Source organism: Homo sapiens, chromosome 6 (genome assembly GCF_000001405.40).
Source record: "Homo sapiens chromosome 6, GRCh38.p14 Primary Assembly".
NCBI classification, from domain to species: Eukaryota; Metazoa; Chordata; class Mammalia; order Primates; family Hominidae; genus Homo; species Homo sapiens.
The window spans coordinates 57,822,867-57,847,287 of NC_000006.12; the positions used below are offsets into that span (position 1 = coordinate 57,822,867).

General features: G+C 39.8%; 1 long non-coding RNA gene and 3 other non-coding genes across 4 annotated transcripts; 2 read left to right on the plus strand and 2 right to left on the minus strand.

Annotated features, from left to right (window-relative positions):
- Positions 1-106: 106 nt before the first annotated feature.
- TRNAI-AAU (transfer RNA isoleucine (anticodon AAU)) lies at positions 107-180 on the plus strand. The gene has a single exon. It is a non-coding gene; the product is annotated as a tRNA-Ile (tRNA).
- Positions 147-23,406, plus strand: LOC105375101 (uncharacterized). The gene is made up of 3 exons (XR_001744179.1): positions 147-824; positions 14,839-15,020; positions 22,674-23,406. It is a non-coding gene; the product is annotated as an uncharacterized LOC105375101 (long non-coding RNA).
- Positions 15,484-15,556, minus strand: TRA-AGC13-2 (tRNA-Ala (anticodon AGC) 13-2). The gene has a single exon. It is a non-coding gene; the product is annotated as a tRNA-Ala (tRNA).
- On the minus strand, positions 19,348-19,420 carry TRM-CAT7-1 (tRNA-Met (anticodon CAT) 7-1). The gene has a single exon. It is a non-coding gene; the product is annotated as a tRNA-Met (tRNA).
- Positions 23,407-24,421: the final 1,015 nt, after the last annotated feature.

The following is a 24,421-nucleotide window of genomic DNA, read 5'->3' on the forward strand; positions in this document are numbered from 1 at the left end:
GTAGGTTCTTTCCAACTCCAAGAACTTCAGAAAAGTTTCTTTGGTGATTGGAATAACGCTCCCCTTTAAACTCCTCAAGAGAGGTAGGGTCCGTTCCCCCCGGCGGGGCCGGTTAGCTCAGTTGGTTAGAGCGTGGCGCTAATAACGCCAAGGTCGCGGGTTCGATCCCCGTACGGGCCACAGGCTTTTCTAATGTTTATTTCACAGTAACAATTATGTTTCACAGTAGCAACTGTGGGCAGTGATACAGAAAGTCATGAGAGAACACGAAAGTAAATGTATTTGTACCCAGTAATCTTGATGGGACGTAGTCCGCTGAATCGTACGGTTGCGTTTGCAGTTTAGTGTTCCTGCAAGAGCAGATGACGAAGAGAGCTAAGATTCGAGAAAGAAATTGAAATCCGGGAGGAACGTGAAAAACAGAGGCGAAAACACGGAAATAAGGACCTGGGCTTTTCATTCCTTTACGATTTCCAAAGCGTACAAATCTTTCTCTGTCGTGACTAACTCCTGATATGGGCTTTCCTAACTGTGCATCTGCTTACTTCCCGCAGACCTGTCCTTGGCTTGTGCAGGGTAAGTAAAGCCTCTCAAAAACTCCCATTTTTCATTTCTATTTCCTCTCTTTTAGCTTCCCTCACTCAACTCTAGAGATACTGGACTTAAGGAAATGTCCCCATAGAACGCTGAGCCTTTCACCTCCTCTTTGCTCGTCTCACGGCTTTGTTAGACACGAAACCATCTTCTGGAAAATGTCTTCCCTGACACCTCTCCTACTTTTCTGAGTTTGGGTTGCTTTCCTCCTAGCACTCACGGAGATCCAGGTACGCATTTGTTTTAGCGGCATTCACCATGTTGGGATTGTCTGTTGCTTGGCCATCTTCTCCATGAGATCATAAGCTTCTTGGGGGTAGGATGCTTATTGCTAAATACTTTTAAAAGTCTGCATGTATCAATGAAGAGTGAAGGATAGGTGTGCAGGCATGATGGAAAGAGTGTCTTGTGGTCCAAATGGGCTTCACGGGTCTGTAGAATCCATGCTATCGCAACATAGTGCATTTTGGTCAGACGAACAATAGGCTACACTATATGGTGATTGGCTCCATTTCACTGAACGTACCTCTAAGGCTCTGAGTGGCTCTATATGCCCCCCAGGATTGGATAGTGGTAAACGACAGAGCATGCGCAATAGATCCAAAGTCAGGAAAGGTCTGAAATGTTTAACTTTGCTGAGGCGAGAGACAGGAATGAACCCTCTCCCGCGATGGGAATTTCTACTCCACTGATCCATAGTAAATAAAACAGTGAGCCAATGCACCTCAAACCTCTATTTTCTATTACATTAATGTGATTGGTTTTGACATTTTCAAAATTCAAGTGATCAGAATGATTTAGAACTAATGTTTACAAAGCTATAATTTAGGAAATCCTTAGCTGTAAGCAGACACACCTACACAGAATAAAGAGAGTGATATGCCCTTTACTTCAGTGTCATTTATAACACTGGGGTAATAATACTTGGGGAAGCTGAAAAACTATATTGACCGACTTACGTAAAAATTAAGAAACATTCAGTATAATTTCTAGCACATAGTGCTGAAAACCTCCTTGTATGTGGAATATTGTTCACCTTTAAGGAAAATGCTTTCAAGGTCTGAGGAGAGATAGTAACGCATTTCTGTTGCTACTGGCTGTTTTGCTCATGTAGTTGTAGCAACAAGCTTCTGTGAACATAAAAATGAAATAACGCTTAAAAAATAAAATAGATGGTGGAGGAACACAATAGGGATGCAAAGTAAGGTATGATTTTCTAGGCAAAAATTGAGTTGTACAAAATAATGTAGTAAAGGATTTGTGCCTGATTCTTTTTTGTATTCCCTTTGAAGCTTATTTAGCTTATATTCCAAGGCCTCAATTGTCATCCTTCTCCCAACAAGACTGTTTCTCTGTACCACGAACATTCCGGTCAGATTCTCTGCTTAAGCGTCTTGACCTCTTGAGCACTCATCTTTGTACTGAGACCCCGATATATGCCCAAATTATGCCCTTCCATAGGAGGGTTTCTTGTTTTGCCCAAAGAGCAATCAATTTTTCAAGCAATTTAGGGCTCTTTCCTCACTCGGGGTCTATGTGAAACCTTAGAGGGAAGCCTGTTCTTTCCAGGAAGAGAATCCCGGTGGGTTCTAACCTCAACCTGTAAATCCACTAAGCAAGCTCCTTCTGAACACCTATGATGCAAGCTCAATCCAAGAGGCCAGCACTCCGCAAGGGGAAGGCAACCAAAGCAATAGGTAATGCTTACTGAGCAGTTCTTATTGATCAGATCCCTCTCTAGGTGCTGGGATCCAGCCAGATTATCCCACAGTCCTCATTTCCCACGTGAAGAAAGATGATTGAAGGAAGGAGCAGGAGTGGGGAGTGGGGAGGGGGTGGAGGGTGGGTAAAGGATGTCTTCAATGTGACAACTTCTCAGATTCCTCTCCTAAAAGCTTCTGAATGGGCCATCTCCACACTCCCAAGTCCCTTACTGCCTATGGATTCCTTCCCAGTAGACATTGTCGCATAACATCTTATGTATTTTTCTTGTTTGCTTCTGATCTGTTTCTCCTCACCCCTATCAACTAGAAAGTAGCTTCGCAAAGGTGAAGAATATATGCGTTTTTTCACTGTTGAATGGCTGTACCCCGAACAGTCTCTTAACAAGATACGTGCTCGAGAAATACATGTAGGATAAAAGAATAAATGACTTCACCCACTCACCTCATAATTACAACTGGGTAACCTTGAGAGCAGAAAGCTCGACAAAAAATTTCCCGTTTCTTCCATCAGCTAGTGAGAAAGACCAATTATATGATATAGCTTGCAGTTTCTTCTGTAATCTATATCCCTTTACCACTCATTTTACTCAAACCACTGACAAGCCAAAAAACAAACAAACAAACAAACAAACAAACAAAAAAAACCCAAAAAACCTAAATGACTTTTCCATTCTAAGCTAATGTTGAGTCAGCCTTCAAACTGTTATCTCATAGCATTTGCATTTCATTATTTAGTGCACCCATTTTGTTTCCCTCAACTGAAATAGCAGCAAAAACTGTATCCTCTCTGATGTTCAAACTCCAAACCTTTAGATTATGAGATTGATGTGTGGCCTGCTGCAGAAAGAGGGCAGTTCTCACCCAAGAGTTGACATCCCACATGCTATTTTCCCAAGCACTGCTGCTTTATCAGTTCTTAACTTTCAAAGAACACAATCAATGGTGCTTGGAAATCACTCTTTATCAGCCATTCCTGCACCCAAAGAATTTTATCCTCAGGACAGGTGGAATCTACCCATTTCTAGTATTCATCTAACAAGACGACCATCTTGAGGCAAGAGGCCAAGAACAATTGTACCTGTTTTGCTGACTTTTTCCCTCTTGTGGCCCAGTGATCTGACTTCTCCCTCCTTCAGAGATCTTAATCACTCTCACACCTCCTATGGTGTCCTTTTTTGAAAAGACACACAGGACATGTTCAGTCCATAATAGTTCACTGACTGACCAACTGAACGAATGAAGGAATGAAAAAATAGTCTTTAAAGGTGTCTCCTGTCCATACTACTGTGTCTTACTCTCTATCTCCACTTGCATCTACACGACTGGAGACAATCCTGCTACAAAAAGTGTAAAGCAAATCTTGTATGCCATTAATTACACTAAGAGATTTATTGAATTTACTTCATGTAGTCCAATAGAGTTTCACCAACAAAACTATGTGTCCTAATCTGCACTTCCTAGAAGTAATGGAACCTCAGATAAGTTTTGTTTCCAAGGTGCCAGAGCTGCTAAGTGTCAAAGCTTGAACTGAGAAGATGTTTTAGATTTTAAAACGTGATTCTTTCTCTGCTCCAGTTCACAATCTTACTCCCTACTCCTCTCCACAGCACCCCATTCATTCAAACACCAAATATCTCATTCCCCAAATCTTGGGCTTTGTTTCCAAGTCAACTTTTGACACATTTTTCTCCTTCAAACACCACATCCAGTGATTTGTCAAATAGTAAACATTATTCCTGCACAACATTTTTGAACCTGTCAATTCCTTTCCATTGATTCAGTACACATTCACAGGGAAGATGCTTTGTGCCAGATACTGTAGTAAGTTCAGGAGATTCTAAAGATTCAAGCGGCCCAGACCTCAAGAGAAGGCAGGACAAATATGGAGAAGGGAAGATCCACGTCCAGTTTTACGATTTCAGTCTCCGTGTCATGTCATTTACAGCTAAATAACCCTTTCAAAAATGTCAGTTTCAATATATCACTCTTTTGCACTCTGAACATTCCTGATTTCCTAGTTATAACATGATCTTGTTTTTCTTTTATTTTTTTTCTCTTCTTTCTACCCAAATTGTGATTTTGCTTTAGAAAGTTGATTGATTAGATCCATTGCTGTATGGATGTTGTTCAGGTCTCAAATGTGTTTACTGATTTATTGTCTACTGGATCTATCAGTTACTGAGAGGGGACTGTTAACGTCTGCAAATGTAATTGGATTTTTCTATTTTTATCTGGATTATCCAATTTTGCTTACGAGTTTTGAAGCCCTGTGTCCTTATATGCATTTGGGACATTATTTCTCTGGTGTGTTGACACCTCTAATTATGTAACAGCCCCCTTTATCCCTGGAAGTTTTCTACAATTTAAAATCTGGTTTGTCTGATTTGAATATATCCACCACAGCTTTCTTTGAGTAATGCCTAAATGACATATCTTTTCCCATTCTTTACTTTCAATATGCTATATAACTTTTAATCTCACATATAAGTATATTACTAGTGACTTTCCTGTAGTCAGCATATTCATTTATAATACATTCTGACAATTTCTGGTTTTCAATTCATTGTTTTAGATCATTTACATCTAATGTTTTTATAGATAAGTTTTTAAGTAGATCTATTGTTTTTCTTTCTGAGATGGAGTCTTGCTCTTGTCACCCAGGCTGGAGTGCCATGGTGCAATCTCCCCTCACTGCAACCTCTGCCTCCCAGGTTCAAGTGATTCTCCTGTCTCAGCATCCCAAGTAGCTGGGACTACAGACACCTGGCTTCATGCCTGGCTAATTTTTTGTATTTTTAGTAGAGACAGGGTTTCACCATGCTGGCCAGGCTGGTCTCAAACTCCTGACATAAGGTGATCCAGCCACCTCGGCCTCCCAAAGTGCTGGGATTACAGGCGTGAGACGCCGTGCCCAGCCAATAGATCTACTTTTTAATAATTTATTAATCATTTGTTCCCCTTGTCTTAATTCTTCTATGTTCTTCGTCCTAGTTTATTTTGGTTTATTTAAATCTGGTTCCTAAGTGGTCTAGGGATCACCATATACATATATAACCTTTCACAGTATACGTAGAATCAATATTTTACCATTCAAGTTGAATATAGAAACTTCATCAGCAGTTAGACCCTTTACCTTTACCCTTTTATGTTATGTATGTAGCACATCTAGATACAATGACAACTGCATCAGATAAAGTTACAATTTTTGCTTTCAATCATGAAACATACCTTAAGGAACTCAAGAGAAGAATAATAGTCTGTAATGTCTACCCAGATATTTTCTATTTCTGCTTTCGTTCCTTCACTGATGGTGTCCTGTTTCCTTCTGGTATCACTTTTCTCATCTTAAATCTTTGCTAATTCTTGTCCAGCAGTTCTACCAGCAATGAATTCTGTCAGTTTACCTTCCTGTGAGAATGTATTTATTTACCTTTAGTCTGAAAGATATTTTTGCTCTACATAGCATTCTGGGTTGACAGGTCTTTTCTTTTGGTATTTAGTAAATGTTTCCTTGGGCCCCTATGGTTTCTGATGAGAAGTCCACAGTCATTCAAGTGGCAGTTTCCCTTTTATTTTCATTTGGCTGCCTTCAAGATTTTTATGGTTTTCCTTAGTTTTCAGCAGTTTGATTATGATGTGTCTGGGTATGGATTTCTTTGGGTTTAACCTACTTGACATTTATTGAACTTCTAAAGTGTTTTGATAAATTTGATATGTTTTCAGCCATTAATTCTTCGGAGTTTTCTTTCTGGAGGACCTCTTTCTCTTCTTCCTGCAGGATTACAATGATGTGTTAGATTTTTCTTATTTTTCTGTTTGTCCCGGAGGCTCTGTTCATTTGCAAAAGCACTCATTTTTCTTTATTGTTCAGGTTAGGTTGGTATTTTTGTTGTGTTTTCAAGTTCATTGACTTTATTCTGAGTGTCTCAATTTTGTTATTGAAATAACCCATTGAAGCTTTTTTTCTCCTAATAGTTTTGATGAATACATTTTTTAATTTTTAAGTTAAAATCAGTGTTTAGAGCTTCCAGATACTTGCTAAGACTTCCCAATTTTCCATTCACTTCAAGAGTGTTATCCTTTCATTCATGGATCATTGTTGTAATAACTATTTAAAAGTATGTGTCAGATGATTGTAACATCTGTGTCTTCTCAGTATTGTTATTCGAGGATTCTCTTTGCCAAGTGAATTAAGATTGTCCTGGTTCTTCATATGCTGAATATTTTGGGGTTGTACTTTGCATTATGTGATGAGACACTGTGTCTTGTTGAAATCTTAAGGATAATATTGCTATTTTTGTTTTTGCAGGCACGTGCTTGCCTTGTATTCAAGTTCCAATAACCAGCCAGCCTTGTGTGTTGTAGTTTCAAAGTCAATTCTATTTTCAAAGCCTTAACACTGCTATTCAGAGACTCTGGAGTATGTGCAACCCAGTGGCCAGTGAGGACTGGAAAGTAGGCTATCACTTAGTTCGATTCTCAGGCTCTTTTTAGATAAGTTGTCTTTGATCAGAGCCACTTATTCACAGCTCACAGGCGCATCCAGGAGTTCACATACAACTTGACAGGTTTGCTCTCCACAGTGTCTTTCCTGGTTACTTGGCAACTCCTAGTTTCGGTCTCCTGATCAGAAAGCTGGGGCTGTATTTACCTGAGTGGCTCTGCCCTGCGCTTTCCATAATTATGCTGCATTTAGGACCAAGCTGCAGGAGGAAACAGGGAGAATAAGTGCAACTGGATATGTCCCTTTGTATCACAGCTCATCAAAGAAACAGAAAACTAATTACACACTGATAGATCTATACTATACCACATACCAGTAGAATCTTAGTCAAGCCTGTATTGTTGCTGCCCTTACATAATGAGCCAAAGAAGTGTCCAGGCTGCTACTGAGATCAGTGTCTAACCTACTGTTTTCTGAGATCAGTGTCTAACACATATTTTTTTCCACTGTAACCTGGAGACCTGAGGTCCGACTAGTGAAACCTGGAGAATGTGGGCATCAATCCCACTACCTCTCACATGCTAAGCGAGCACTCGACCACTTGAGCTACTTCTTCATCTCACAGCATCTTTTTTCATCCTTAGTGGGCAGTCTAGAACACACGCGACTTCAAGGCCTTCACCGCGAAAGCAGGGCTCCACTAAGAGCAGATCTTCTCATTGATGGCCCAGGGCAAGAGTGCAGTGGGTACTTATTCTCTGTGAGGAGGGAGGAGAAAAGGGAACAAGGAGAAAGTCACAAAGGGAAAACTCTGGTGTTGCCAAAATGTCAAGTTTCACATATTCCGAGACGGAAAATGACATGTCCCACAGAAGGACCCTGCCCAGCTAATGTGTCACAGATATCTCAGGATGCTTAAATGATTTTTTTAAAAGAAAAGAGATGGCATTGTCACTTGTTTCTTGTAGCTGAGGCTGTGGGATGATGCAGATTTCTGGAAGGCAAAGAGCTCCTGCTTTTTCCACACCGAGGGACTTTCAGGAATGAGGCCAGGGTGCTGAGCACTACACCAGGAAATCCCTGGAGAGTGTTTTTCTTACTTACATCTGAGACATGTGTTGTCTTCTTGCTAAGGTGTGTCATGTAAAAGTTACATATCCAACTGCATGGCAGAACAATAATAACAAAAAAATGCAGATAAGAGGCATAAAGAATAAGAGACAAAGATCATATCAGAGTGAAAGAATAAAGAAAACACATTCAGCAATGCAGAGAAAGAGTGGACATAGGGTGGAGAAAACCTAGGGTAGGTATAGGGTGGAATGTTTGTAGGAATTCCTGTGTAAAGAAATATGCCTGTTCAATTTAAGTGGAGTGTGTGTGTGTGTGTGTGTGTGTGTGTGTGTGTAAAATATACACAGAGGGAAGTAGTGATTGAAAAGCCTGGATGCTTGGAGATATGTTGGGAGAATATTATAAAAGCTAAAGACTCATTGAAAAAATTCCAGGTAGAAAAGCAGCATTTTAGGGAAAGGTTTTTAGTTTTAAATGTTAAAGAACTTGAAAACGGAAAAACTGGATCTGGGGAGAAAGAGAAAGAAGTCATAAAGATATTAAAGGATTGAGATTTATCCACATTGACTGTGTCAGTTCCTGAGGTGAACAGCATGAGTCTTTCTGCAGCTTCAATCCCCTTCACACTTCATGGTGAAGAAAACATCCTCCATGAACATCATAGCATGGATAAAGAAGGAGGTGAGTAAAACAGAAGAAAAAGATTCTGCAGAGTTTATGCAGGAAGGATCTACAGTATTTGTCAAGACATTGGGTGGAGAGATTTGAGGGAGAGGAGACAAAGGCACTGGCAAGTCTTGAGCCCGGTGTGGCAGACACAGAAGAGATTTTGAATTCATATCTGATCGATGCAAGAATAAATCCACTCATTTATCTGTATTTGGTAAATGAGTGAATGTTACATTCGTGAGCTGGTGTGAAGAAAACAGATAAGACTATGTGCTAGACTAAAGCAAGAGCTTATGATTTTTTCATTGAGAAAGAAATCTGCTTTTCATATCTGGTTTCCCTCTTTAAAGTTATGTGATCTAAGGAAAATGGTTTAACTGCTCTGAGCTTCAGTGTCATCTGTAACACTAGGGTAATAATACTTGGGGAAGCTGAAAAACTATATTGACCAACTTACATAAAAATTAATAAACAGTCAGTATAGTTTCTAGCACATAGAGCTGAAAAATTCTTGAACGTGGAGTATTGTTCACCTATAAGGAAGATGTTCTGAAGGTCTAAGGAGAGAGATCAGTGCAGTTTTGTTGCCATTGGCTGATTTGCTCATTTATTTTGTAGCAATAAGCTTCTGTGATGATAAAAATGAAATAAAGTTTAAAAAGTAAAATAGATGGTGGAGAAACACAATAGGGATGCATAGTAAGGCATGATTTTCTAGGCAAAATGGATTTGTACAAAAGAATGTAGTAGTAAAGGATTTGTGCCTGATTCTTGTATTATTTTTGAATCTCATTTAGCCTGTATTCTAATTCCCCAATTGCTGTGATCCTTCTCCCAACAAGATTATTTCTTTGCACCGTGAACATTCTGGTGAGATTCTCTGCTTAACCATCTTGACCACGTGAGCACTCATCTTTGTACTGAGACCCTGATATATGCCCAAATGATGCCCTTCCATAGTGGCGCTTCTTGCTTTGCCCAAAGAGCATTCAATTTTTCAAGCCATTTAGGGGTCTTTCCTCACCCGGGGTCTATATGAAACCTTAGAGGGAAGGCTGTTCTCTCCAGGAAGAGAATCCTGGTGAGTTCTAACCTCAACCTGTAAATCCACTAAGCAAGTTCCTACTGAACATGTATGATGCAAGCTCAATCCAAGAGGCCAGGGAGAAGGCAACCAAAGCAGTAGGTAATGCTTACTGAGCAGTTCCTATTGCCCAGATCCAGCTCTAGGTGCTGAGATCCAGCCAGAGAATCCTAGAGTCCTCATTTCCCATGTAAAGAAAGACTATTGGAAGAAAGGGAAGCTAAATGATATCTTCAAGGTGACAACTTCCCTGATTCTTCTCCTGAAAAGTGAATGTGTCACCTCCACACTGCCGAGTCCTTTACTGCCTAGTGACTCCCTCCCAGTAGATAACATCACATGACTTCTTGTTTATTTTTCTTTTTTGCTTCTGTCTCTTTCTCCCCACTCCCCCCAAAATTGACGTAGTATCACAAAGGTGAGAATATCTGTATTTTATTCACTGCGAATTGCTATACCCAAAACAGTCTCTTAACAAGATATGTGTTGAGAACTATCTGTTGGATGATTAAAAGAATAAAAGACTTCACCCACCCCACCCCATAATTATGTTTGGATGACCTTCAGAGCAGGCAATTGGAAGAGAAATTTCCCCTGCCTCCCCTGTCAGCTAGAGAGGCAGACATATGACATAGCTTGCAGTTTCTGGTGTAATTTATATGTCTTCACCACGCCTTGTACTCAAGCGACTGAGAAGCCAAAAGAAGGAAAAAATAAATAAAGACAGAAAGAGAAAGGAAAGGAAAGAAGGAAGGAAGGAAGGAAGAAAGAAAGAAAGAAAGAAAGAAAGAAAGAAAGAAGAAAAGAAAACTCACTTTTAAATTTTAAGCTAATATTTGGTCTGTCTTGAAATCATTATCTCATAGCATTTGTGTTCCATTATTTATCACACCTATTTCATTTCTCTTAATGGAAATAGCGGCATAAGCTGTGCCTTGTCTCATGTTCAAACTCAGGACCTTCAGAATATGAGATTGACAGGTGGCCTGCTGCTCTAAGAGAGCAACTGTTCCTAAGAGGTGACATCCAGATTATTAAATCTCATTTCCCACGCACTGCTGCTTTATCAATTCCTAGCTTTTAAAGAACACAATCAATGCTACTTGGAAATCACTCCTTATCAGTCAATGCTGCACTGGAAGAATTCCCCACTCAGGACAGGTGGAGTCCACCCATTTCCAGTATTCACATAATGATAGGACCTTCTGGCTTGAGGGACCAGAAACAATTGTACCTGTCTTGCTGCTTTTTTTCCTCCTGTGGCCCAGTCATCTAGCTTTTCCCTTCTTCAGAGATCTTAGTCACTCTTCCTTTCCGTAGTCTCCTTTGTTGATAAGAAACAGAGGTAGTGCTCAATTCATGATAGTTCATTGAGTGACCAACTGAATGAATGAAGGAAGAAATAGCCTTCCAAGATGTCTGCCATTCATACTACTCTTACTGTGTATCTACACTTGCATCTATAGGACTGCAGACATTCACTCAACAAAAAATACAAACTGAACTTTTAATCATATCCTCCCTGTTTTTCCTCATATTTTTGTGCCATGAATTATACTAGGAGACTTAGGGAGTTTACTTGATGTAGTCTGATTGACTTTTGCCAACAAAATTATGCCTTAGTATGCACTTTTTAGAAGTAATAGAGAATCAGATAGGCTAAGTGCGTTTTTGTTGTTGTTGTTTGTTGTTTGTTTGTTTTGTGAGACGGAGTCTCGCTCTGTCTCCCAGGCTGGAGTGCAGTGGCCCGATCTGGGCTCACTGCAAGCTCCGCCTCCCAGGTTCAGGCCATTCTCCTGCCTCAGCCTCCCGAGTAGCTGGGACTATAGGCACCCGCCACCATGCCCGGCTAATTTTTTTGTATTTTTTCAGTAGAGACGGGGTTTCACCGTGTTAGCCAGAATGGTCTCTATCTCTTGACCTCCTGATCCGCCCGCCTCGGCCTCCCAAGTGCTGGGATTACAGGCGTGAGCCACCGTGCCCGGTCAAGTGTTTTTTTTTTTTTTTTTTAAGGTGCCAAAGCTGCTAAGTGGGAAAGCCCGAATTGAGAAGCAGATATTTTTAGATTTTGCATGTGATTTTTTTCCCTCTGCTCCAGCTCACGGTTATTCTGCCCATTCTTTTGCACTTTAGCTCATGCACTCATACACCAAATATGTAATTCCAGACCTCCTCTTTACTTACCTTTTGGGCTTAACTTTTTTAAAATTTTTTTTAAAAACTTTTTTTGAGTTAGAGTCTCACTCTGTTGCCCAGGCTGCAGTGTAGTGGCACAATCTTGGCTCACTGCAACCTCTGCCTCCTGGGTTCAAGTGATTCTTCTGCCTCAGCCTCCTGAGTAGCTAGGACTACAGGTGCCCTGCTAATTTTTGAATTTTTAGTAGAGACGGGGTTCCACCATGTTGGCCAGGCTGGTCTCAAACTCCTGACCTCAGGTGATCCGCCTGCCTTGGTCTCCCAAAGTGCTGGGATTACAGGTGCGAGCCACTGCGCCCGGCCTGGGCTTAACTTTTATATTTTATTTTATTTTATTTCATTTCATTTCATTTTATTTTATTTTAAGACAAGGTGTCACTTTACTGCCAGGGCACTGGTGTGATCTCTGTTCACTGCAACCTCCGCCTCCCGGGTTCCAGCGATGCTCCCACCTCAGCCTCCTGAGTAGCTGGAACTACAGATGCATACCACCACACCCGGCTAATTTTTGTTTTTTTTGTAGAGACAGGATTTCACTGGGTTGCCCAGGCTGGTCTCAAACTCCTGGCGTCAAGGGATCTGCCCACCTCGGCCTCCCAAAGTGCTGGGATTACAGAAATGAGCCACCACGTCTGGCCTTGGGCTTACCTTTCAAGTCAACTTTGATTCATTGTCTTCCATCAAACACCACATTCAATGATTTGCCAAATAATGAACATTATTCTTGCACAACTCTTTTGAATCTATCAATTACTTTCCACTCATTTAGTACATATTCACTGGGGAGATGCTCTGTGCCAGACACTATAGTAGGATCAGGTAATTCAGAGGAAGTATAGACACCCTAGACCTCAAAAGAAGACAAGATAAATATAGATGAGGGAAGATCCACCTCCAGATTCACAATTTTCAGTCTTTCTGTCATTTCCAGCTAAATAATGCCTTCAAAACTCTTTCAAAATAACTAAGTCACTATTTCAAACTCTTTCAATAATAGCACCCTTCTATATGATGGACCACTCTTAATTTCCTGGTTATAACATGATCTTACTTTTCTTTTAATTTTTGTCTTTGCTTTCTGGCTAAATTTTTATTTTGCGTTATGAAGTTGATCAGATCCATTGGTGGATGGTGTGGTTCAGTTCTCCAATATGTTGGCTGATTTGTTGTCTACTAAGTCTACCAATGACTGAGAGAGGAGTTTTAGTGTCTTCAACTAAAATTGGATATTTCTATTTTTACCTGGCTTATCTAATTTTGTTTATGAGTTTTGAAAATCTGTGTCCTCATATACATTTGGAACAGTATTCCCTGGAGAATGGACAATCATAATTATTTAGCAGCCTTCATTATTCCTGAAAAGTTTCTCTGCTTTCAAATCTACTTTGTCTGATTTTAATGTATACACCACAGCTGTCTTTGATTAATGCTTGCATGAGGTATCTTTCCCACTCTTTTCCTTCAATCTGCTATATAACTTTTATTCTGATATATAAGTGTATTGCAGGTGGCTTTCTTACAGTCTGCATATTTACTTTTAATACATTCTGATGATCTCTAGTTTTTAATTAAGGATTTAGATCATTTACGTGTAATGTTAATATAGATAAGTTTTTAGATAGATCTATTTAATAATGTATTAACCTTTGTTCCCTTTGTTTTAATTCTTCTATGTTCCTCTGTCTATCTTGTTTTGGTTTATTTCAATCTGGTTAGTAAGTGGTCTAGGGATTACCATATACATATATAACTTTTCACAGTATACTTAGAATCAATATTTTACCATTCAAGTTGAATATAGAAACTTCATCAAGAGTTAGGTCCATTACACTTACCCTTTTATCTTATCTATGTAGTACATCTCGATACAATGACAACTGCTTCTGATAAAGTTACAATTTTGGCTTTCAATCATCAAACATACCTTAAGGAACTCAAGAGAAGAAGAACAGTCTGTTATGTCTACCCAGACATTTTCTATTTCTGCTTTCGTTCCTTCATTGATGATGTTCTAAGTTTCCTTCTGGTATCACTTTTCTTATCTCAAATCTTTGCTAACTCTTTTCCAGCATTCTTGCTATGAATGAGAATGTATTGACTTACCTTCCAATGAGAATGCGTTTATTTGCCTTTATGTCTGAAAGATACTTTTGCTCCACATAGCATTCTGGGTTGATAGGTCTTTTTCTTTTGTTACTTACTGAATATTATGACATTTTTTTCTGGCCGCTATGGTTCCTGATGAGAAATCTACACTCATTCATATGGTAGTTTCTTTTTCATTTTCCTTTGACTGCTTTCAAGATTGTTTTGTACTTTCCTCGTTTTCAGCAGTTTGATTATGATATGTCTTGAAATGGGTTGGGTTTCTTTGGGTTTATCCTGCTTGACCTTTGCTGAACTTTAAAAACTTGATTTATATCTTTTGACAAATTTGATACATTTTCAGCCATTAATTCTTCAAAGTTTTATCCCACAAAGACCTTTTTGTCCTCTTCTTTTCAGATTACAATAATGTGAATGTTAGATTTGCTATTTTTTATTTGTCCCTGTGCCTCTGTTCATTTACAGAAATACTCCTTTCTCTCTATAGCTCAGATTATGTAGGTATTCTTGTTCTGTTTTCAAGTTCGTTGACATTTTCTTAGTCATCTGCATTCTGTTATTGAGATCATCCAGTTAAGCTTTTTATTTCCCCTAAGAGTTTTGGTTAATACATTTTTTTAAATTTTTAAGCTTAAAATTGGTGTTTATATATTCCAGATATTTGCTGAGACTTTCCAACTTCCCATTCACTTCATGAATGTTATCCCCTAATTCTAGGAGCATTGTTATCATAACTGCTCTACTCTATGCCTCAGATGATTTTGACATCTGTGTCCTCTCAGTATTGCTATTCGAGGAGTCTCTTTGCCATGTGAATGAAGATCTCCCTGGTTTTTCATAATGCTGAATATTTTGGGGCTTGTAACCTGGACTTCTTTGGATTATGTGATGAGACGCTGTGTTTTGTTGAAATCTTAAGAATAATATTGCTATTTTTATCTTTGCAGGCACAAAATTGCCTTGTATTCAAGTTCCAAGTACCAACCAGCCTTCCACGTGTTGTTGTTTCAAAGATAACTCTATTTGCAAAGCCTTTACGCTACTGTTCAGAGATTTCCGGAGTGTGTGCAACTTCAGTGAGGACTGGAAAGTGGGCCATTGCGCAGTTCAGCTCTCAGGCTCTTTGTAGGTAAGCTGTTTGGGATTAGAGCCACTTATTCACAGCTGGCAGGTGTGTCCACAATCTCATGAACAACTTTATGGGTTTGCTTTCTACAGTATCTGTCCAGGCACATTCTAGTTACTTGACACATCCTGGTTTCAGTCCCCTGAGCAGAAAGCCGAGGCTGTGTTTACCCAGGTGGCTCTGCCCTGCACGTTTCACGATTGTCTGACGTTTAGGACCAAGCTTCAGGCAGAAACAGGGAGAAAAGAGCAGTTTTATATGTCCCTTGGTTTCACAGCTCCTTGAAGAAACAGCAAATGAATTACACAGTAGATCTACACTATACTGAATGCCAGGAGGGAGTCATCACCAGCCCTGTATTGTGGCTGCTCCTATGTCTTGAACCAAAGCAGCATCCTGCTCTCAGACACTAACTTGGGTTTGGATACTTGAGTGTTTGGAGACCCAAGGTCCAAATAATAAAGCTTGGAGAATGTGGGCATCGATCCCACTACCTCTTGCATGCTAAGCAAGCGCTCTACCGCTTGAGCTAATTCCCCACGTCAGGGGAGCTTTATTGATCCTTAGTGGGTGTCCTGGAACACAGGGGATTTCAGGGCCTTCAGCAGGAAAGCAGGGCTCTACTAAGAGCAGATCTTCTCACTGATGGCCCAGGGCAAGGCGCAGTGGCTACTCATTCTCTGCAAAGAAGGAGGAGAAAGGGAACAAGGAGAAAGTCACAAAGGGAAAACTCGTGCTGCCAAAATGTCAAGTTTAGGGTATTCCGGGACAGAAAAAGGCACATCCCAGCAAAGGAGGACATATCTAGACCTGCCCAGCTAAAGTGTCAGAGATTTTTTAAAAATGATTAAATGATTAAAAATGATTAAATGATTTTATGTGTGTGTGTGTGTGTGTGTGTGTGTTGTGTGTGTGTGTTTATAAAAGTGGGATGGAATTATCACTTTTCCTTGTAGCTGAGACTGTCTGGGGGTTGTGAGATGGTCCAGATTTCTGGAAGGCAAAAAGCTCCTGCTGTTTTCATAACTAGGCCGTTTCACCAATGAGGCCAGCGTGCTGACCACTCCCCTAGGAAACCCCTGGAGAGTGCTTCTTTCACTTACATCTGAGATATGAGTTGCCTCCTTGCTAAGGTGTGTCATGTACAAGTTACATGTCCAACTATATCTCGGAACAACAACAACAAAATTACAGAGCAGAGCCATAAAGAATAAGAGACAAGATCATATCAGAGTGTAAGAATATGTAAAATATAGTGTAAGAATCAAAATTGAGCTATGCAGAGAAGGAGTGGACATATGGTGGAGAAAACCGGGCTGTTTTGTAGGAATTCCTGTGTAAAGAAATAAACCTGTTCAATTTAAGTGGAGAGTGTGTGTGTGTGTGTGTGTGTGTGTGTGTGTGTGAAATACACATGGAGGCAAGCAGTGATTGAAAAGCCTGGCCACTTGGAGATATATTGGGAGAGTTTTATGAAAAATCCCATGACTAATTGAAAATATCCCAGGCAGAATGCTTAAATAATTAAAGCAACATGTTAGAGAAAGGTGTTTGGTTTTGAATGTCAGAGCTTGAACATGAGTAACAGGAACTGGGGAGAAAGGGAAAGAAGTCATAAAGATATTAAAGGATTGAGGTTTACCCACATTTATCGTGTCAGCACCTGAGGTAGACAGCAGAAGTCTTTCTTCAGCGCTAGTGCTCACCACACTTCATGCTGCAGAATACATCCTCCATAAACATTGTAGCATGAATGATGACAGAGGTGAAAGAAAAGGAAGAAAAGATTCTGGAGATGTTGTACAGGAAGGATCTACTTTATTTGTCAAGACATTGGGTGGAGAGATTTGAGGGAGAGGAGACAAAGACACTGGGAAGTCTTTAGTCTAGTGTGGTAGACACAAAAGAGATTCTGAATTAATATCTGATTAATGAATCTGCTCATTTATTTGTATTTGTTATGTGAATGAATGTTACATGAATGACCTGGCGTGGAGAAAACAGATGGCGAGACTATGTGCTAGGGTAAAGCAAGAGCTCAAGTTTTTTTGTTTTTGTTTTTTAATTTAGAAAGAAATCTGCTTTTCATATCTGGTTTTCCTGTTTAAAGCTACGTGATTTGAGGAAAATGGTTTAACTCCTCTGAGCTTTACTGTCATCTACAAAATTTAGATAATGTTACTGAGGGAAGCTGAAAAGTCATATCAACCAACTTATATAAAGAATAATAAACATTCAGTTCCATTTCTAATGCATACTGCTGAAAAGTCCTTGTATGTGGAATATTGTTCACCTTTAAGGAATCTGCCGTCAAGAGCTGATGAGGGACTATTTAAGTGCAGTTCTGTTGTCACTGGCTGTTGTGCTCATTTAGTTGGAACCAGCAAGTCTCTGTGAACATAAAAATAAAATAAAGATTGTGGAGGAATAGAATATAAACACATAGTAAGGTAAGATTTGCACAACAGAATATAGTAAAGATTTGTGCCTGATTCTTTTTGCATTCTCTTTGAATCATTTTTAGCCTTTATTCTAAGTCCCCAATTATGGTTATCCTTCTCCCAACAAGATTGTTTCTCTTCACCACGGATATTCTGGTGAGGCTCTCTGCTTAACCATCTAGACCTCCTGAACACTCTTGTTTGTCCTGATAACCTGATTTATGCTCAGATGATGCTCTTCCACAGCAGGGCTTCCTGCTTTGCCCAAAGAGCATTCAATTTCTGAAGCCATTTAGGGCTGTTTCCTCACCCAGTATCTATGTGAAACCTTAGAGGGAAGCCTATTCTTTCCAAGAAGAGAACCCTGCTGGGTTCTACCCTCAATCTGTAAATCCACTGGGGTAACTGGGATTAGCTCAGATTAGCAACTGGGGTTAGCTCAGCTACTCCAGAGCTTGCTCTCTGGGAATGGATGCTGCTGCTACTTCCCATAAAGGCTGACTAAAAAGAGGCATCTGCAGGCAGGAGAAAGCGCTATGGCAGTTGCTGGAAGATTGCTTCTGACCATTGGCTATCTCTCTGACCTGATGGGAGAAGGGTGACAAAAATTGGAGACTTGAAAAACAGGCCAAAAAAACAAAATTCAAAGGAATTTTAAAAGAACCAGGTACAAATTCTTAATTAGATTCTTTTATCCAAATCCATTTTGTCTGGGAAATAATACCTTACTATGTATCTGTATTCTATTCCTCCATTATCTATTTTATTTTATTTTATTTTAGTGTTCACAAGAAGCTGGATGCTAGCTACCAAATGAGCAAATCAGCTATGACAACAGAACTGCACTAAAGTCTCCCATCAGATATTGATATAGTCAAGACCCTCATGAGTGCCTATGATACAAATTCAGTGTGAGAGGCCAGCTTTCCACAGGGAGAAGGCAACCAAAGCAGTAGCTAATACTGAGCAGTTCCTACTGCCCAGATCCATCTCTAGGTGCTGAGATCCAGCCAGAGAATCCCACAGTCCTCATTTTTCATATGAAGAAACACATGAGGGATTGACAACCCCAGTCCTCATGTATCATCAGTTTTCCAAGGAAGCCAACTAGCCTTCTGGGCAAAAAGCTCTCCTAACCCCCAGTTGCCTTGATAGGTAAAAGTACTCTTATGACAGTGTTAGAAAAACATGGGCACAAGTGTTCCGGCAAGATGGCTAGAAGAAGGCAAGGCTAAAGTTGTCAAGGTGACAGAGTCCCTGATTGTCCTCCTGAAAGCTGAATGTGCCACCTCCACATTCCCACACCCTTTACTGCCTAGCGATTCCCTCACAGTAGACATCGTCAAATCACGTCTTACATATTTTTGATTGTTTCCTGTCTGTTTCTCCCCACGCCTCCCAAGTATGATGTAGTTTCGCAATACTAGGAATATTTGTGCTGTATACACTTTCACCCCACTCCTCCCAAGTAGGATGTAGTTTCACAGAGGTAGGAATGTTTGCGTTGTATTCACTCTTGACCCCAGTCTCTTAACAAGATATGTGTTGAAGAAATATTTGTTGGATGATTAAAAGAATAAATGACTTCACCCATCCACCCAATAATTAGTGTGAGGTGACCCTGAGAGCGGGAAGCTGGAAGAGAAATTTCTCCTGCTTCCTGTGTCAGCTAGAAAGACCAATTATATGACATAGCTTGTAGTTTCTGGTGTAATCTACTCTTCTGTTTTCACCACTTATTTTACTCAAACCACTGGAAAGTCGAAAAAACAAGAAAACTTAAATTATGTTTCCATTTTCTACAAATATTGGGTCAGTCTTCAAATCCTTATCTGCTATAGCATTTGCGTTCCGATATTTAGTGTATCCAACTTCTTTGGCAAAAGTGATGCCCTCTCTGAGGCTTGAACTCAGGACTTTCAGATTATGAAACTGACGCGCTGCCAGCTGCACTAAGAGGGCTTGCTGTTGAGCTTGGGCAACATCCATTTTGTCGAAGTGTATTTCCCACCTACTTTACGGTTTCAGCTTTCAAAAACTACAATCAATCCTACTTGAAAATTACTCTGTATCAATCAACGCTGCACTAGGAAGATTCCATACCCACGACCAGAGGAGTCTACACCTTTCCAGTATTTCATAGGACCGTCTGGGTTCTGCGTTACCAGGATCAATTGTACCTGTCTTTTGCTGCTCTTTTTCCCTTTTCCTTCCCTCAGAAACCTTAGTCACTCTTACACTTTCCATGGTCTCCTCTGTTGAAAAGAGACAGGAGGTTCTCAGTTCATGATAGTTCACTGACCACCTGGATAAATGAATGAAGAAATAGCCATCAAACCTGTCTCTTGATCATACTACTGTCTTCCTTCATATCTCCACTTGCATCTACATGACTGAAGACATTGTCGCTACAAAAAAAACACAAAATACTTATAATGGCACCCTCTTTGTTTTTTACCCCTTTGTTTTTTCTTGTGTGCTATTAAGTATACTACGAGATTTCTTGCGTTTACGTAGTCCAATTGAATTTCGCTAACAAAACGATGTATCCTAATGTGCACTTTCTAGATGTAATGGAGGCTCAGATAATTATTGTTTCTAAGGTGCCAGAGATGCTAGGTGGCAAAGCCTGAACTGAGAAGCACATTTATTTTAGATTCCAAAAGGTGAGTCTTTTCCCTGCTCCTGCTCATTATCTCTCTGCCTGTTTTTCTCCACAGTAGTCCATTCATTCATATACCAAATATCTAATTCTCAACCTCCTCCTGGGCCTAGATTTCCAAGTCAACTTTGACTCATTGTCCTCCTTCAAACACCACATTCAGTGATTTGCCAAATACTGAACATTATTCTTGCAGGTCTCTTCTGAATCCGTCAGTTCCTTTCTACTCATTCAGTACATATTTGCTGGAGAGATGCTCTGTGCCAGACACTGTAGTAGGCCCAGGAATTTCAGGAGGAATTTGGCCAGCCCAGACCTCAAGAAAAAGCAGGATACATATGGACAAGGAAAGATTCACTTACAGATTCGCCGTTATCAGTCTTCCTGCTATTTAAGTAACTGTTTCAGAAATATCAGTTTCAATAATGTCACTTTTCTGCACTCTGACCATTCATGATTTCCTAGTTATAATATGATCTTGCTTTTCTTTGATTTTTTTGGCTCATCTTTCTACATAAATTGTGATTTTGCTTTATAAAGTCTATTAGATCCATTGGTGGATGGTGTTGTTCTATTCTCTAATATGTTTGCTGATTTGTTTTCTCCTGAATCTATCAATTACTGAGAGAGGAGTGTTAATGTCTGCAACTGTAATTGGATTTTTCTATTTTCTTTCTGGTTTATCCATTTTGTTCATAAGTTTTGAAGCTCTGTGGCCAGAAACAGACATATTTAGGACAGTTGTGTCCCTTCGGTGAATAGATGCTTTATAATTATATAACATCTGTCTTTCTGTCTGAGGGCCTCATCTCGTGTTAAGCAAGTGAGTGAGATAACCTTTACACTACACTGAGGAAACCCTCAGACTTCCTAAATCTAAGATAGATATATCTAAGATATTCAAGGTATGTATATATCTTAGATTTCTAAGATATATAAGATATATTTATGTTAGATTTATATATATATATATACACATACTTATATTCAAGTCTTTTTAAGTTACATCATATAGAACTCACATATTCACATCACATAAGAAAACAGCAAAAATTACAAAAGTATTACAGACAAGAACCATGGGGATTAAAAGATCAGCTTGTAGTAAAGGGATAAATATGAACCTTGAAGGATGCAGATGAGGAAGAATGCACATGAGTTTGAAGGAACAGGCATAGATGTAGGAATTCCTGTGTGAGGAAACATGCCTGTTCACTTGGGATGTGTAGTGCACAAGTGCATGTGTGCCTGCTTGTGTGTGTGCCTGTTTACAAAATGAAAGGAAGTAGTGATTGAAATGCCTGTGCACATGGAGATAATGATTGGGAAAACATTGAGACTTAAGAACCCTTGAAAAAATTCCAGACAGCTTACATAACCAAATTAACATTTAAGAAAAAGGTGTTTAGTGTTGGATGTCAAAGAGCTTGGGAACAGGGAGACTGTAATTGAAGAGAAATGGAAAGAAGTTATAAATAGATTAAAGAATTGAGGTTTATTCACATTTATTCCGTCAGCTTCTGAAATGAACAGCATGAGTCTTTCCGTAGCTCCAGTGCCCATTATACTTTGTGGTGCAGACTACGTCCTCCATAAACGTGGTAGAATGGGCAAGAGAAACATGAGTGAAAGGTAAGAAAAACATTCTGGAGAGGCTGTGCAGGAAAGATCTATGGTATTTGTCAAGACATTGGTGTAAACATTTGAGGGAGAAGTCTTGAAACTGTGGCACACAAGAGATCCTGAATTAATGTCTGATGAATGGAACAATAAATCTAGACATTTCTAAGTATTTGTCAAATGAGTAGAAGGATGAACAGATGAGCTGGTGTGGAGAAAAACAGATGATGAGACTATGTGCTAAATTAAAGAATGAACAAGAGTTTGTGTTTTCTTATTGTGGTAAAATATACTTAACCCATTTTACATTGAAAATTCTAAGTGTTCAATTTAGTGGCATTAAGTACATTTACAATGTGAGCAACTATCACCACTACCCATTTCCAGAAGTTTCTCGTCATCCCAAACAGCAACTCTGTACCCATTAAACAATAACTCCACATTTCCCTCTCCCCAACAACCTCTATTCTTTCTGTCTACATGAATTTGCCTATTCAAGATATCTAAAGTAGAATCACAAAACATGTTTTTAAATTGGGAAAAAATAAGCTTTCTGTATTTGGTTTTGCTCCTTACAGCTACATATTCGCAACTCAGGGGTGCACTCGGTGAGTTGACAAACCACTTGTGGGTTTGCTTTCCACACTATCGGCAGGACTTTCCGGTTACTTGGAACTCCACTTTACAGTGCCCTGACCAGAAAGAAAGCTGGGGTTTTACTCATCCTGCTCTGCCCTGCATTTTCCAGAGCTGTGCTGCATTTTGGCATTTTGGGTCAAGCTGCAGGAAGGAGAGAAAAGGAAAAATTGGGTATATCCCACCCTCTTGGGATCTCTTCTTTCCTCTGAATAAAGAGAAAACAACTTAGAGAATGGGTACTGTCCACTGAACGTTTTAGGGGCTATTATTAGCACTGTTTCTTTATGCCCATAGGTCTTTTACCAGTGAAGCATTCAAGATGGCTGGTACTTCCTCGTTTTCTTCGACAGGTGACTAATGAAGCCGTTCTCCACGTTGTACTGTATGGACATGCGGCCCCAAGTGACAACATCGATCCCACTACCTCTCACATGCTAAGCGAGTACTCTACCACTTGAGCTCATTCGTCACCTACCGCAAAACTTTCTGCCCTTTCCTTTATTCAGGAGTAGATGTGCGCGATTACCACCATTTCTTGCGTCTCGGAACAAAGGAAATGTCTGGATTATTAATGGGGAACCAGGACTCGACCTAAGGCGAGTCTACTCAAAAATGGCCAAGGGCAAGGGCATGATGGCTATTCCTCTGCGAGGGAGAGGGGAAAACGTAACCAGGAGAAAGTGGACACTGGAAAAGTCTGGTGCTGTAAGATTTCACGTTCCAGATTTTCAGGGAGAGAAGCGAGCACGTCCCAGCTGGGGAGCGCCCGCCCAGAGCGGCCTGCTAATTTGGCACAGCTATCCCAGGATGACGATCTTTCTTTTAAAAGAGGCGGGATAATCACTTGTTCCTTGCAGCTCTGGACTCCCGGGAAGAAGCGGCCACTCCCGGTCAGATTCTGGGAGACCAGAGAAACCTGTTGTTTCCGTTGAGTTTCAAATAGAGGACCTTCCATGTGTTAGGCCAGCGTGGTAACTACTACACCATAGAAACCCTTTGCATCACAGGCTTTTTATATTTTGAGATGAGCATTAAATACTTGTTTTTACAATTTTTTTAGTTGACAAATACAAAATGTATATATTTATGATGTACAACATGATGTTTTGATATATGCATACATTGTGGAATGGTTAACTCAAGCTAATTAACGTATCTATTACTTAGTGTGTGTGTGTGATGGGAACACTTAAATCTACTCTTTTAGCAATTATAAAGTACAGAATACACTTATTATTAACTGTAGTCACCATACGGCACAGTAGATCTGACCTTATTCCTCCTGTTTAACTGAAATTTTGTGTCCTTTGACAAACATCTCTCTAATTCCATTCCTACCTCCCATCTCCTCCCCTAGCCCCTGGTAACTACCATTCTACTCTCTGCTTTGATGAGTTTGACTTTTTTAGAGTTCACATTTAAGTGAGATCGTGCAGTATTTGTCTTTCTGCTCCTGGCTTATTTCACTTCACACAATGCCCTCCGGGTTCATCGACATCGAAAATGACAGGATTTCTGTTTTTTAAAAGACTGAATAGTATTTCATTGTGCAGTTGTAATATTTTCTTTATCCATTCATCTGTTGATAGACGCTTAGGCTGATTCAGCTACTTTAGTAGTAATTCTGCAATGAACATGAGAGTGCAGATATCTCTTCAATAGACCGATTTTTGAACATATACCCAGAAGTGGGGTTGCTGGATCATATGATAGTGCTCTTTTTAGTTTTTTGAGGAACTGCTGTACAAAACAGCTGCACTAATTTACATTCCTACCAACAATGTACAAGGATTCTCTTTTCTCCACATTCTTGCCAACACCTGTTATCTTTTGCCTTTTTGATAGCAGCCATTTTAACAGGTGTGGTTTTGATTTGCATGTGCCTGATGATAAATGACATTAAGCAAGTTTTCATATGCCTGTTGGCAATGTGTCTTCTTTTGAGAAATGTCTATTAAGGTCCTTTCTCCATGTTTTAATTGGGTTATTTGTTTTTTTGCTATTGAGTTGAGTTCCTGATGTATTTTTTATATCAACCACTT